At 45.5% G+C, this 14,787-nt stretch overlaps 1 protein-coding gene across 14 annotated transcripts in view, besides 1 other annotated feature; it reads left to right on the forward strand.

Moving 5' to 3' along the window:
- The window catches only part of NDUFAF6 (NADH:ubiquinone oxidoreductase complex assembly factor 6), a 222,698-nt gene that overhangs the window by 69,319 nt on the left and 138,592 nt on the right, over nucleotides 1-14,787 (forward strand). For 4 of the 14 annotated variants that reach the window (NR_148905.2, NR_148906.2, NR_148903.2 and 1 more), the window contains one exon: nucleotides 10,700-10,866. The exons of 6 other annotated variants lie outside the window; for them this stretch is intronic. The gene's annotated coding sequence lies outside the window, so the exon portion shown is untranslated. Of the gene's footprint in view, nucleotides 1-10,200; nucleotides 10,299-10,699; nucleotides 10,867-14,787 lie in introns of all 14 variants that reach the window. 4 more of the 14 variants (NR_148907.2, NM_001354514.2, NR_148904.2 and 1 more) reach the window with 3 other exon arrangements.
- Nucleotides 10,155-10,718: an enhancer, noted in NCBI's record as "NANOG hESC enhancer chr8:95987500-95988063 (GRCh37/hg19 assembly coordinates)". NCBI's record gives its function as "activates a minimal SCP1, AML or CMV promoter by ChIP-STARR-seq in naive H9 embryonic stem cells {active_cell/tissue: H9 hESC(naive)}" and the evidence as "EXISTENCE:reporter gene assay evidence [ECO:0000049][PMID:30033119]".

The raw sequence follows: 14,787 nt of genomic DNA on the forward strand, positions 1-14,787 counted from the left end.
CCCAGTCGGCCCTGAGGCTGAGAACAGATCCTTTTAGAATGGGGACAGAAAAAAGGGGAACTGCAGGGAGAAAAACAAATTAAACTTTGAAACAATTACTGGGCCATATACATATCGAAGGTGATGATATAATTAAAGGACCGGGGCAGTATACACACATTCCAACAGGTGCAAAGACAGTCAGGAAAGGGCCTGATCTGTCTGGAGAATGGTGAGTCCCCGGGGAATGAGGAAGAAGAGGCTGGGACAGGGTGGAGGGTGTCAGGGCCTTGATGGACAGCCTTGGATGACTGCTTCTGGAATTTGGATTTTATTCTGAAGGCCACACAAGTCAGGAAAGGTCAGTAAGCTATGCTGAGACATGATCCTGTTTTTATGTTTAAGGAAACAACCTTGGTAGAAGGGTGGGAGATTAAGTTGTGAAGAGGCTGTGGTTGGCCATAGGAATAAGCCAGACAAGGGCTAATAAGAGTTTAAGCCAGGAGTTGCAATGGAGGTAGGAAAGCGAGGTCACGGTTCTGGGATAAAAACTCAACAGAATTTAGTCAATTGGCCATGACGGAATGATGGCAAATGACAGAAATTGAAGAAGATTCCAAGATGTCTAGCGTGGAAGACTAGGTAGTTCGTAAAGTCATTTACCTGAAGGTGAGAAGTCAGAAGACTGGGAATATGGACAGGGATGGAGACAGGTGATGGGGTAGGAGAGAACTCAATGTATTTAGCACTGGTTATATGCCAGCACTGTTTTAGAGATATTTTTTGTCATAAAAACCCTATGAAGTAATATTTTTATGGTCATTTCAGAGATAAGAAAACAAAGGCTGAGAAATAATGTTTGCTCACCCATGGTTACTCAGAAAGTGAGTCAGGATTGGAAACTATAGCCAGCTGGCTCCATAATCTGTAACCCACGCTTTGCTCCCTAGTATGCTTCTAAGTGTCATCTAGTTTGGGACATATAGGAGTCACTCAAGACTCTGAGTCTGGAGCTTGGGAGATACTCATGAGGTACAGGCATCGGTTTGTAAGTCCTTATAAAGGAGATCATTCTTAAATTACAGAAGCAGATGAGATCACCTGGGGAGAGCATGCGGGGGAAAGAGAAGACAGGGACGGACCCTGGGGACTTCACATGTAAGGCTTATATCAGTCAGGTTGATGTTAAACTATTATACATGTAACAGGAAGGACGGCCAGGCATGATGGCTCATGCCTGTAACCCCAGCACTTTGGGAGGCTGAGGCAGGAGGATCACTTGAGCTCAAGAGTTCAAGACCAGCCTGAGCTACATGGTGAAACTTCATCTCTACACAAAGTCAAAAAATTAGCCAGGTGTGGTAGCACGCGCCTGTGGTCCCAGCTACTTGGGAGGCTGAGGTGGGAGAATTGCTTGAGCCCGGAAGTTTGAGGCTACAGTGAGCTGTGACTGCACCACTGCACTCCAGCCTGGGTGACAGAGTGAGACCTTGTCTCTAAATAAATAAATAAATAACACAAAGGCAATGAATAAGATTAGTATTGGTTTCTTCTCATCACAGAGTTCAGCAGTGAGGCTTTCAGGGTTAGACTCTTGGCTTCATTAGACACTCAGGCTCTCTTTTTCTTCCACCATACTTAGTGTGTGTGGCCTATCCTCAAATTTGCTTTAGTTTCACAAAATGGTCATTTTAGGTCCCATCATCCTATTTCAGGCAGCGGGAAAGCGGAAGAGGCCAAAGGAAAAAGGTGTCTGCCAGCCAAGTGGGGCTGCTTTTAAGGAAGTCTTTCCAGGAGACTCACTACATAACTTCTGCTTACATTGGCCAAAACTTAGAACTATTTTCAAGGGAGGCTGGAAATGCAGTTCTTAGCTAGGCCCCTCACTGCACCAACTAAATCAGGTTCCCTTGGTAAGGAATGAAAGGAATGGAAATTGGATAGACCATTGTAATCTCTACCATAAGGGGGTAGGCAGAAGAAAGAAAAAAAGGAACATGCGGAGAGAGAGAAAAAGGGAATGATGCCATGAAAAGTGTAATCATTAGGATGCTTTTAGTTACAAGTTCTTGAAAGCTGAGACCAAACTAGCTTAAACTTTGATAAAGTAGCCAAAACAATTTACAGGTAGGGCAGATGTGTTTGTTGGGGCTCTGGCTTTGCAACTTCACTGTTTTCTTGGATATGCCCCTCTGTGTTGGCCTTGCATTCAGGCTGACCTCACAAATGGCCATGGAGTGGCTGAAGCAGTTCCAGGACTCACATTTGCACACATCATCCACAGCAAGACTGACCATCTTCCTAGAAAAAGTCCTGAAATTCATTTATTCATTCCAAAATATTTCTGAGTACCTACTGTGTGCCAGGTTTTTTTCTAGGTGCCAGAGATAATGACAGAGATCCTTTAGTCATCTGTTGCATTATCCTGAAACTCAGAGGCTTAAAACAGCAAGTATTTATTATTTTACAGTTTCTGTGAGTCAGGAAACTGAGCAGGGCTTAGTTGGGTGCCTCTGGCTTCGGTTCTCTCATAAGGCTGCTATCAAAATGTCAGCCACCGCACCACGGGCGCGGTGGCTCACGTCTGTAATCCCAGCACTTTGGGAGGCCGAGGTGGGTGGATCACTTGAGGTCAGAAGCTCGAGACCAGCCTGTCCAACATGCAAAACCCCATCTCTACTAAAAATATAAAAAATTAGCCAGGCGTGGTGGCATGTGCCTGTAATCCCAGCTACTTGGAAGGCTGAGGCAGGAGAATCGTTCGAACCTGCGAGACAGAGGTTGCAGTGAGCCAAGACTGCGCCATTGTACACTAGCCTTTGCGACAGAGCGAGACTCTGTCTCAAAAAAAAAAAAAAAAAGTCAGCTGGGGCTACAGTCATCTTAAGGCCAACCAGGGGAGGATTCAGCCTTTAACCCCAGCTCACTCACATGGTAGTTGGCAGGCCCCAGGTCGCTGCTGGCTACTGGCCAGAGATGTCAGCTCATTGCAACGTGGACATCTCTACTGGGCTGGGAGTTGCGGGTGGAAAGGAACAGAGAGAAGTCAGTCTTCTTGTAAAACATTCTCAGAAGTGACATCCCATTACTTTTACCATATTTTATTTATTTTGAATTACTGCCAATAAGTCCAGGCCACGCTGAAGGGGAGGGGATTACATAAGGGCATGAATACCAGGAAGTTCAGATCATGGGGAACCACTTTGAGACTGCTTACCACAATATTCTAGTCAGTGGAGACAGGCAATAAACAAACGTGTATCATATGTCAGGGGTGATAAGTGCTAGGAAGAAAATCAACGCAGAGTAAGGGAAGGCCTTTATTATGAAATGTCATTTAGGTAAAACCTGGCACACGGGGCAGCAAGCCATGTGGGCATCTGTGGAAGAGCATTCCAGCCAGAGGGAAGAACAGGTGCAAGCTCCCTGAGGCAGGAGCATGCTTGGTGTCTTTCACAAATCACACAACCAAGGTGCCTGGAGCTGAGTGAGCAAGGGAGGAGACCAAGTCAGAGAGGTGGGGTGGGATCACGAAGAGACTTAGAGAAGATGGTAGAGACTTTCCTGGAAGGTTCTGCACAGGGGTGTGATATCATGATCTGCTTTACTTTTAAAAATCTACGATGTGGGCAGCAGATGGTACCAAGGGCGAGAGTAAAAGCAGGTAAACCAGTTGGGATTCTACTGCAGTGGCCCAGGGGAGAGAGAGCAAAATCATGGAGTCATGTTGATGCAGGTGGGGAGGAGTGACTGGGTTCTAGATATATTTGATAAGATTTGCCGAAAGATTGACTTAGGGTGGGACAGAAGGAGGAGTCAAAGATGACTGCAAGCCTTTCAGCATAAGAATCTCTAAGGTCAGGATGCCATTTGCTCAGGTGGGGAGGATGAACCTGAGAGAGCAAATCAAGATTTTGACCATGTTAAGTTTGGAACACCTGTTAGATAGCCAAATGAAGATGTTGCAGAAGAAGTTGGAGTCTGGAGTTCCGATGAGAGGTGGAGGCTGGCAATAGAAATTGGAGAGGCATCAGGATCAAATTGCCATTTAAAAACAGAGAACTAGATGAGATGAATCACCTAGGGAGTAAGTATTAATGGAGAATGAGCTCTGGAGCACCTGGAACCTTTGGAAATAAGAGGATGAGGAGAATCTGGCAAAGGAAACTGAGAAAGAGAAACCAATGACAAAGGGTAGATGATTCTAGGGAGAAAACCAATAGGGTCCACCTAGGAGAGCAAGAAGAGAGGTGCTGTTGCCCTTTCACATGCCTCCAAGGGTCAAGTGGTGCCACTGGATTTGAAAAGTAGCAGAAGGTCATTGATTACTTTAGAGAGAGCAGCTTGCAAAGTCATAAGGTCAGCAGCTGGACAATATTGGATTTGGAAGGGAAATTAGCTGGGCCTGGTGGTGCGTGTCTGTAATCCCAGTTACTCAAGAGGCTGAGGCAGGAGGATCAGGTGAGCCTGGGAGTTCAAGGCTGCGGTGAACTGTGATCATACCACTGCACTCCAGCCTGGTTCACAGAGCAAAACCCTGTCTCTAAATAAGATAATTTTAAAGTTGGAAACAAAGCACAAGGGAAAACACTAAGTTATGCAAAATTAGAATATATTGATATCAATAACCAAACATTATAATAAAACCCAGAACACAGAAAGAGGTAAATTGTTTTCAGTAAATATAATGAGGCTTAGGATCTTTACAATGGAAAAAAACTCATGCAAATTGATAAGAAAAATGCTAAGACCTTACCAAGAAATCGACAAAGGACATGAACAGACAGTTTGAAAAGGAGGAACTACAACTAGTAAACAAAGATAAAGAAAACTGGCACCATTAGCAAGAAAAGAAATACAGATTAAAACCTTAAGATGGGCTGGGCACAGTGGCTGATGCCTGTAATCCCAGCACTTTGGGAGGCCGAGGCAGGCGGATCACGAGGTGAGGAGATCAGGACCATCCTGGCTAACATGGTGAAACCCCGTCTCTACTAAAATACAAAAAATTAGCCAGGTGTGGTGGCACGCACCTGTAGTCCCAGCTACTTGGGAGGCTGAGGCAGGGGAATCGCTTGAACGTGGGAGGTAGAGGTTGCAGTGAGCCGAGATCACACCACTGCACTCCAGCCTGGTGACAGAGCAAGACTCCGTCTCAAAAAAAAAAAAAAAAAAAAGAAGAAGGAAAAAAACATAAAATGACGTGTTTTCAACTATTGAATTAGCAAAAAGTTACTAATATCATTTAACCCAGAAATTCCAGGTCAGGGAATCCTAAGAAACTAAGCCAAAATGCAAATGAAAAAGCTAGTCACAATTCTGTTTATAATAGTTAACAACAGAAAATAGCCAGGCATGGTGGCTCACAGCTGTAATCCCAGTGGCTCAGGAGGCTGAGGCAAGAGAATCTTTTGAATCTAGGAGTTCGAGGTTATAGTGAGCCATGATCTTGCCATTGCACTCCCGCCTGGGTGACATGTTCCCATCTCTAAAAAAAAATTAAAAATAACAGAAAATAATCAAAATGCTGAACACCAGGAGACTGGCTTAGAAAAGTATGGCACATTCATACAATAGAATATTAATCAAGCACATACCAAAAATGCTTGGGAAGAATTTATGGTAACACAGGAAAATGTCTATATCATATTAACTTTTTTAAAAAGCAGGATTGTAAATTGTATATACCTTTTCTTCTCACCTATGGGAACATATTTCTAGAAAAAGGGAAACTCACCAAAATGTTCCCTCAGCATCACACAGGAAGACTGACTACCATTCTTTCATGCAGCACACCTTTGTCTCGAACTCCTGGCCTCAAGCCATCCTCCCACCATGGCCTCTCAAAGTGCTAGGGTTACAGGCATGAGCCAGCACAACTTTGTTAAATTCTGTGCTGGCTTCTCTGCCAAGTCCTGGGAGTATAAAGATAATTCAGAAAGTCCTTCCCTTGAAGAGTTTGCATCTATGATCCGAAAAACTATTCTGTGTGAGTAAACAATCAAGCCTCAAAAGCTATAAGCATAATTCGAATCCAAAAATATCACAGCAGAAATGAACACACCTGCAAGGTAAATGTTGACCACACAGCTGGGCCTACAGTGATGCTGCCCAGAGGCAATAGGAAATTTTGGAGCGTACTTAGCTGTCAGTTGAGTTCTTGGAAACCCCAGTGCTAGAGTAAAGATGGCCTTGACTCCAAAGGAATGAAAGTCAGGGTGTAGCTAATAGAATTCATAGAGTGAAGCTGATACTCCCAAACAATATTGTTGCCTAACTTCCTGCTATAAGTGGTTTGGTGTAACAGTGCCTCTGCCCAGCCTCTGCTCAGAACCACCAGAGTGACTCCAGATGGATCATTGGGCTTCTTCCATCCTGGGTTACTTCTTGAGCCCCACTCTTTGGCAATGACTAGCTTGGAGGCTCCTGCTGCAGTGTCAGGATTGGGCCAGTGGGAATGCCTCTATTTTCAGGTTTCTCACAGGTGGAGATGACAGAATGACACCTCGTATTTCTAGACTCTTTTATGTATATTTCACATATATTTAAAAAATTCTGGGCCTGGCGCGGTGGCTTATGCTTACAATCCCAGCACTTTGGGAGGCGGAGGCGGGTGGATCACCTGAGGTCAGGAGTTCGAGACCAGCCTGGCCAACATGATGAAACCCCCGTCTCTACTAAAAATGGAAAAATTGGCAGGGTGTGGTGGCTTGCGCCTATAATCCCAGCTACTCGGGAGGCTGAGGCAGGAGAATCACTTGAACTCTGGAGGCGGACGTTGCAGTGAGCCAAGATTGTGCCATTGCACTCCAGCCTGGGCAACAAGAGCGGAAAAAAAAAAAACTCCGTCTCAAAAAAAATTCTGACTCATCTGCAAATTGAAGAATGATGTAGTTGGTAGCTGGAAATCAACTAGCTGCATTTTAAAATTTTCTGGCAGTGTTACCTCCATCTTGCTTCCTTTACCTATCAAACTGTAGTTATTTAATAAATGCTAAATCAGAAAAACAAAGATTCTGATAGTGTCAGAGAGAAAGCTCTCCTAGAAAGCTACTTTCTGAAAAGTCCAACCAGGTTATTCTTTAACTGTTTTGGTCCATGGAGTAGCAAGGCAGATTTAGAGAGCAAAGAATAGATACAACATGATTTTTTTTTTCTTTCTTGAGACTGAGTCTCGCTCCATTGCAAAGGCTGGATTGCAGTGGCTCGATCTTGGCTCACTGCAACCTCTGCCTCCCGGGTTCAAGCAGTTCTCCTGCTTCAGCCTGCCAAGTAGCTGGGATTACAGGCGTGCGCCACACCAGGCTAATTTTTGTATTTTTAGTAGATATGGGGTTTCGCCATGTTGGTCAGGCTGGTCTCTAACTCCTGAACTCAAGTGATCTGCCCGCCTCAACCTCCCAAAGTGCTGGGATTACAGGCCTGAGCCACCACACCCAGCCACAATGTGATCTTTAAAATAGATCAAAGACCAACCTAAAGGAAAATGAGTTTTTGATCATAAAATTAAGTACAATTTAAAAATTCAGTTCTCCTATAATCTCAGCACTTTGGGAGGACAACGTGGGAGGATTGTGTGAGCTCAGGAGTTTAGGACCAGCCTGGGCAACGTAGCAAGACCCTGTCTCTACTGAAACTTAAAAAAAAAAAAAGATCATCCAGGCATGGTGGTGCATGCCTGTAGTCCCAGCTACTCGGGAGACTGAGGTGGGAGGCTTGCTTAAGCCCAGCAGTCGAGGCTGCAGTGAGCCATGATTGTGCCACTGCATGCAGCCTGGACGACAGAGCAAGACACTGTCTCAAAAATAAATAATAAATAAATATTCAATTCTTAGCCAGGTATGGTGCCTCACATCTGTAATCTCAGCACTTTGGGAGGCCAAGCTGGGAGGATTGCTTGAGCCCAGGAGTTCGAGGCTCCAGTAAGCTATGATAGCTTCACTTCACTACAGCCTGGGTGACAGAACAAGACTCTGTCTCTAACTAGCTAAATTAATAAATACTCATTTCTTAAGAGAAACCCTTAATAATTACCATGTGATTAGGACTGAAATGTCTGAAGGCAAGCTATCTGGGTTCAAATCCTGGCTCTGCCACTCCCTAGCTGTGTGACCTTAAGCAAGCTACTTAATTTCACTGTGTCTCAGTATTTTTTCCTTATCTGTAAAATGGAGATGATAGGACCTCCAGCCTGGGTGACAGAGTGAGATTCTGTCTCAAAAAATAAAATAAAATAAAATGAAAGAGACACCAGAGAGCTCCCTCATGCCTTCTCCCCCATGAGGACATAGTGAGAAGATGCCCAACTATGAATCAGAAAGTGACCTTTGGGCTGGGTGCGGTGGCTCACGCCTGTAATCCCAGCACTTTGGGAGGCTAAGGCGGGCAGATCACGAGGTCAGGAGATCGAGACCATCCTAGCTAACACAGTGAAACCCTGTCTCTACTAAACATACAAAAAATTAGCCAGGTGTGGTGGCGGGCACCTTTAGTCCCAGCTACTCGGGAGGCTGAGGCAGGAGAATTGCTTGAACCTGGGAGGTGGAGGTTGCAGTGAGCTAAGATCGCACCACTGCACTCCAGCCTGGGCGACAAGAGTGAGACTCTGTCTCAAAAAAAAAAAAAAAAGAAAGTGACCTTTGGCCAGACGTGGTGGCTCACACCTGCAAACCCAGTGCTTTGGGAGGCCGAGGTGGAAGGATTACTTGAGGCCCAGAGTTCAGGACCAGCCTGGGCAACACAGCAAGACCCCTGTCTCTAAAAAAAAAAAAAAAAAGGCCCTCCCCAGACATGGAATCTTTGATCTTGGACTTCCCACCCTCCAGAACTGTGAGAAATAAGTTTCTGCTGTTTATAAACCACTCAGTCTATGGTATTTTCATTATAGCAGCCTGAACCAACTAAGATAAGGGTGTTCATGAAAGTGAGGAAAACAAATAATGTCTTTATGGGAACTCCAGAAAGCCACTCAGCCAGTCCTCAAGGTTAGAGCAGGAACATCATACCACCCTGCACTGTGGCCATTAGTCAGGAACTGGAAGGTCATTCAGGGCACTGACCAGCTCTTGTGGCCATACCATCTCCTCATCCCTTTGCAGCAGGTGTCTACTTAGAGCCAAATCTGTTTTTTTTTTAAATTATCTTTATTATAAGGAAAAAAAAAAACCACAGTAAAACAGACCTGGTAGGTGGTAGGGGTGGAAGACACGGAAAAATATAATGACCAGACATGGCTTCCTGCGAGGGAGGACAGTGAGTTGGCCTTTACCTCACCTACTTTCCTGATTCAAAGAAACTTGCCCCCAGCAAGACTGGGCCCAGGAGCTCCATTTTCCAATCTCTTCTCTTCCTGGGCATTTAAGAAGGGGTATATTGTTCTCCAGCTTTCAAGATATTGCAGACAGTATGGAGAAGAAGGGAAGGATATTATAGCCGTTTGTTTCAATGCCTTCCCCAGCTCAAGCCCTCAGGATTTGTTGATGCTGCAGATAGGAACCCCATGGAATTGGGGCAGCTTAAGCAGCAATATGCTGAGCGGTGAGGCTGTGTTGATGAAGAAGGAAGCAGCATCATACCTGGCATGGAAGCTGTCAGGAGGTAGAATGCCATAGGAGAGATGCTAAGGAACTTGTGGGCAGAGGTACCTGGAGCCTGTAGTCCATCCGCTCCCAGTGTATCAGTAGCCAAGCCTTTCCTTGTTAAGGGGGTCTCAAAGGACGTCCCTTTCCCCGTATGCAGGAAGTACATAGCCTGCCAGCTTCAGAAGCCTGTCCAGCTAGAGGCGTGGTGCTCACTTCCACACCTGTAGATGTTTGTCCAAGGGTCAACCTGAGATTCAAACCCAGGGCCTTCTGGCCCAAAACAAGTAAGCAAGTAGCAGCCCAGGAAGTCAAACCAAGATCTGCGAGGTTCCAAAACACCAGCTCCTTGCTTCTTCCTTTCTCAGCCCACCAACATAACCACTTGGAGGAGCCTGAACCAAGTCATGTGTTTGCCAGTTCCCACTGTCTCATTCCAATGCTGAGTTGCCCCTGGGATAGAGCAAGTCTTCCTCCACCCCCTGTAACTGTTAGGGCCAGGTAGAGACAGAGGGCAGGTGTGGGTGGGTTGGAGGATCCCCTTTCATTCACATTCAGCAGGTGGCTTCCTTGAGCTGATTTTTCCCTTTAAAGCTGTCCTAATTGCTATTTTAATCAGATTTTATATTCCTATAAATCTAAGGTGGAGGTTGGGGAGAAAAGAGATAATGGTATGGTGAGATGTCTACTGAACTGCTCCTGCCAAGGCCCCTCCCCATGTACTCTCAACGAAAGTTGCAGGTGAGTCTCCCATGCTGGGAGTCGGAATCCAGCAGAGCCTCAGGCAGCGGGGAGCTATAGCAGTTAGAAAGAGCACATTCGCAGAAACCCTGTGACCTGCAGCTGCTGGCCTCCTGGAAGCTTCCTTTGTTGCTCTTGGTTGGAAGACTGTTGTTATGATGCTCTTTTAACTACATTCACAGGGTCTAGGATTGGGTTAGAGAAAGGGTGAGAGGACAGGTGGGAGGAAAGAGGCTGAATGAGTGCTAGGAAGTGAGGCATCCGAAGGGACTGCCTTCATGGTCGTGTCTAGCCTGATATTCACAGCATTATTGATTTTTTTTCTTCCAAAAATTACATGTATTTTATTTTCAGCATCTTTTGCTAATTCTTTCTAATTATAATGTGCTGTTATTTTACAGCCACCCATTCTCATTTTGTGGATATAATTCCCTGCTTTAGTTTTCTGAGCACAAGAAATCAACTTTGGCTGCACATTGGAATATCTGAGAAGCTTAAAAATACTGATGTTTGGACCAGGTGCAGTGGCTCACGCCTGTAATCCCAGCACTTTGGGAGGCAGAGGCAGGTGGATCACGAGGTCAGGAGATCGAGACCACGGTGAAACCCTGTCTCCACTAAAAATACAAAAAATTAGCCGGGCGTGGTGGCGGGCGCCTGTAGTCCCAGCTACTCAGAGAGGCTGAGGCAGGAGAAAGGCATGAACCCGGGAGGTGGAGCTTGCAGTGAGCCGAGATCGTGCCACTGCACTCCAGCCTGGGTGACAGAGACTGTGTCTCAAAAAAAAAAAAAAAATACTGATGTTTGGGCCGGGTGGTGGTGGCTCACGCCTGTAATCCCGGCACTTTGGGAGGCAGAGGCAGGCGGATCACGAGGTCAGGAGGTTGAGACCATCCTAGCCAACGTGGTGAAACCCCGTCTCTACTAAAAATACAAAAATTAGCTGGGTGTGGTGGCGCATCCCTGTAATCCCAGCTACTTGGGTGGCTGAGTTACGAGAATCACTTGAACCAGGAGGTGGAGGTTGCAGTGAGCCAAGATCCCGCCACTGCACTCCAGCCTGGTGACAGAGCAACACTCCATCTCAAAAAAAAAAAAAAAAAAAAAAATTAGCTGGGTGCGGTGGTAGGTGCCTGTGGTCCCAGCTACTTGGGAGGCTGAGACAGGAGAACTGCTTGAACCTGGGAGGTGGAGGTTGCAGTGAGCCAAGATCACACCACTGCACTCCAACTTGGGCAACAGAGCAAGACTTCATCTAAAAAAAAAAAAATACTGATGTTTGGAGAATGATGGTCATCAGAGGTTGGGGAGAAGGAAAAGGGAAGTTGTTGTTTATGTTGTTTAATGGGTATAGAGTTTCAGATTTGCAAGGTGAAGAAGTTCTGGAGATCTGTTTCACAACAATGCGAATGTACTTAATATTACTGAACCATACAATTAAAAATGGTTCAGAGGCCAGGTACAGTGGCTCAGGCCTGTAATCTCAGCACTTTGGGAAGCCCAGTCAGGCGGATCGCTTGAGTCCAAGAGTTTGAGATCAGCCTAGGAAACATGGCGAAACTCCATCTCTACAAAAAATACAAAAATTAGCCAAGCGTGGTGGCACACACCTGTGGTCCCACCTAGGTGAGAGGATCACCTAAACTCAGGGAGGTCAAGGCTGCAGTGAGCCATGATTGCACCACTGCACTCTAGCCTGGGTGACAGAGTGAGACCCTGACTCAGAAAAAAAAAAAAAAAAAAAAAGGTTAAGATGGTAAATTTTATGTTATGCTTTTCTACTACAATAAAAAGTACATAAAAATATTGATATGGGCCGGGTGCAGTGGCTCATGCCTGTAATCCCAGTGCTTTGGGAGGCCAAGGTGGAAGGATCACTTGAGGCCAGAAGTACAAGACCAGCCTGGACAACAAAAAGAGAGCCTATCCTTACAAAAAATTTTTTTTAATTAGCTGGGTGTGGTGGCACACAACTGTAGCCCTAGTACTCATAGTACTCAGGTGACCTGAGGTGGGAGGATCACTTGAGCCTGGGACATTGAGGCTGCTGTGAGCCATGATCACACCTCTGCACTCCAGCCTGAGCAAAGAGCAAGACCCTGTCTCTAAAAAAAAAAAAAAAAAAAAATTGACCTGGCTAGAACGAAGCAGGCATAAGAAGGGGCATAAGCACCCTGCTGGGTTCTCTCTCTCTCTCTCTCTCTCCTTGTGCCAGATGTTTTGCTTCCGCTTCTCCTGTCCTTGGACATCAGACTCCAGATTCTTCAGCTCTTGGACTCTGGAACTTACATTAGTGGCCTTCTGTGGGGGTCTCAGGCCTTTGGCTTCAGACTGAGGGCTGCACTGTTGGCTTCCTGCTTTTGAAGCTTTTGAACTTGAAATTCTGACTTAACTGATGAACAGTTAAGTCTAGGGAATATCTGTTCTGGGGAGTAGTGGGCAATGAACCCTGAAAAGCTCTGTGACATTATGATATAATAAAACATATCAGTGGTTTTCCTCCCCAGTCCCTGGCACAGAGCTCCTAAAACCCTTGTAATTTCCTGAATGACAGGGGTGCTAGGTACATCGTTTGTTCTAATACTTGGTCTTGGACTCTGGTTCCTGACAAAGAGCTCCTAAATCCTTTGGAATTTCCCGGGTACTAGAAGAGTCCTTTGTTCTATTAATAATTCGGCAACTCTTGGGGGGCTCCTGGATAGCTTTGGGATGGGAACTGGTCAGCAGAAAGACCAAGCCATGATTAGAAGCTTGGAACATTCAGTCCCATCCCCTATTCTCCAGGAAGGGGAGCAGAGCTGGAGATTGAGTTAATAACCCATCATGCCGATGTGATGAAGCCTCCATAAGACTACAAGGCTCATAGAGCTTCTAGGTTGGTGAACACATCTGCGTGTTAGAAGGATGGCGCACTCCAATTCTTGCCCTCAGGACACTTTTGGACTCACTCTATGTACCTCTTCATCTGGCTGTTCATCTGTATTCTCTATCATATCCTTTATAATAAGCTGGTAAACAGGCCAAGCATGGTGGCTCATGCCTGTAATCCCAACATTTTGGGAGGCCAAGGTGGGAGGATCACTTGAGCCCAGGAGTTTGAGACTAGCTCTGGCAACACAGTGAGACCCCATCTCCATGAAAAATAAAAACTTAGCCAGGCTTGGAGGTGCACGCCTATAGTCCAGGTACTTGGGAGGCTGAGGTGGGAGGATCGCTTGAGCCTGGGAGGTCGAGGCTGCAGTGAACCATAGCCATTCCACTTTGCTGTAACCTGGGAGACAAAGCAAGACCCTGTCTCAAAAAAAGAAAAAAAAAAAGCTGGCAAACATAGGTAAACATAAGTGTTTCCCTGAGTTCTGTGAGCCATCATAGCAAATGGGAACCTCCAATTTGTAGCCAAGTTAGAAAGAAGTGTGGGTAACCTAGGGACTCACTACCTGCAGTTGGCATCTGAAGTTTGGGGGCAGTTTTGTGGGACTGAGCCCTTAACCTGTGGCATCTACAGTAACTCCAGGTAGTTAGTGTCATAATTAAATTGTGGTACACCTAGTTGGTGTCCAAAGAGTTGGAGGATTGTTTGGGGTGTTTGGGGTAGAATAAGCCCTGAGACATTTTGTGTCAGAAGGGTTGAGTGTAGTAGAGCAAAACAGTGTTTGTTTCCTGTTTAAGCTCCCAGGTGATTTTAGCATGCGGCTAAAACTGAGAGCCGTCCTGAGGATCTGAAGTCACTACTTTTCAGATCCTCATCATTCTGGTAATTATTTTTTCTCAGATGCAAATCCCCGCTTTTGTTGAGATTTTCTTTTTGATGGTGTGGGCCATTTTCAGAGGCTGACCAAGCTTACCTTCTGCCACCTGGGCTACACCTCTGCCTACACCCTGGGCTTCAAGTCCCACCTGGAGGTGAGGACCTGGGGCTTCTTGACTTGTGCTTTCCTATCTCCTCACTTCCTTGAGGAATGCTGCCCAGCCTTTAAAGAGAGGGTCCTTCCTTGTTTTCAAAAGTGGCTATATTGTCTTTCACACCCCTCTCTCTTTTCCATCCTTCCTTCTCTCTTTCTTTTTGTATCTTTTAAAAAATCTCTTCCTGGGGTCTTATGAAGGAGATTTCAGCATGAGTTTAGTCCACATTCCTGAAATCTGGGGATTTTACTTTTTAACTTTATATATTTCTGTGTTATTTGAATTATTTTGCCACAAATACATTGTTTTTGTAATATTTTTTCAAGTGTTTTTATAAAAAGAATTTATATTAATAAAGCCTATGTAATAACCTTGAAAATGTTTATGACATAATGCTAAGGGAAAAGGCAGACATATGTGCAGGAGGATCACAACAATGTAAAAAAAGACCATGACAAAAAACGAACTTTATCCATAGAAGACAGGCCGGAATGGGCTGGGCACCATGGCTTACGCCTGTAATCCCAGCACTTTGGGAGGCCGAGGCAGGTGGATCACTTGAGGCCAGTAGTTCAAGACCAGCTTG

Source organism: Homo sapiens, chromosome 8, assembly GCF_000001405.40.
Source record: "Homo sapiens chromosome 8, GRCh38.p14 Primary Assembly".
Classification (NCBI taxonomy): domain Eukaryota; kingdom Metazoa; phylum Chordata; class Mammalia; order Primates; family Hominidae; genus Homo; species Homo sapiens.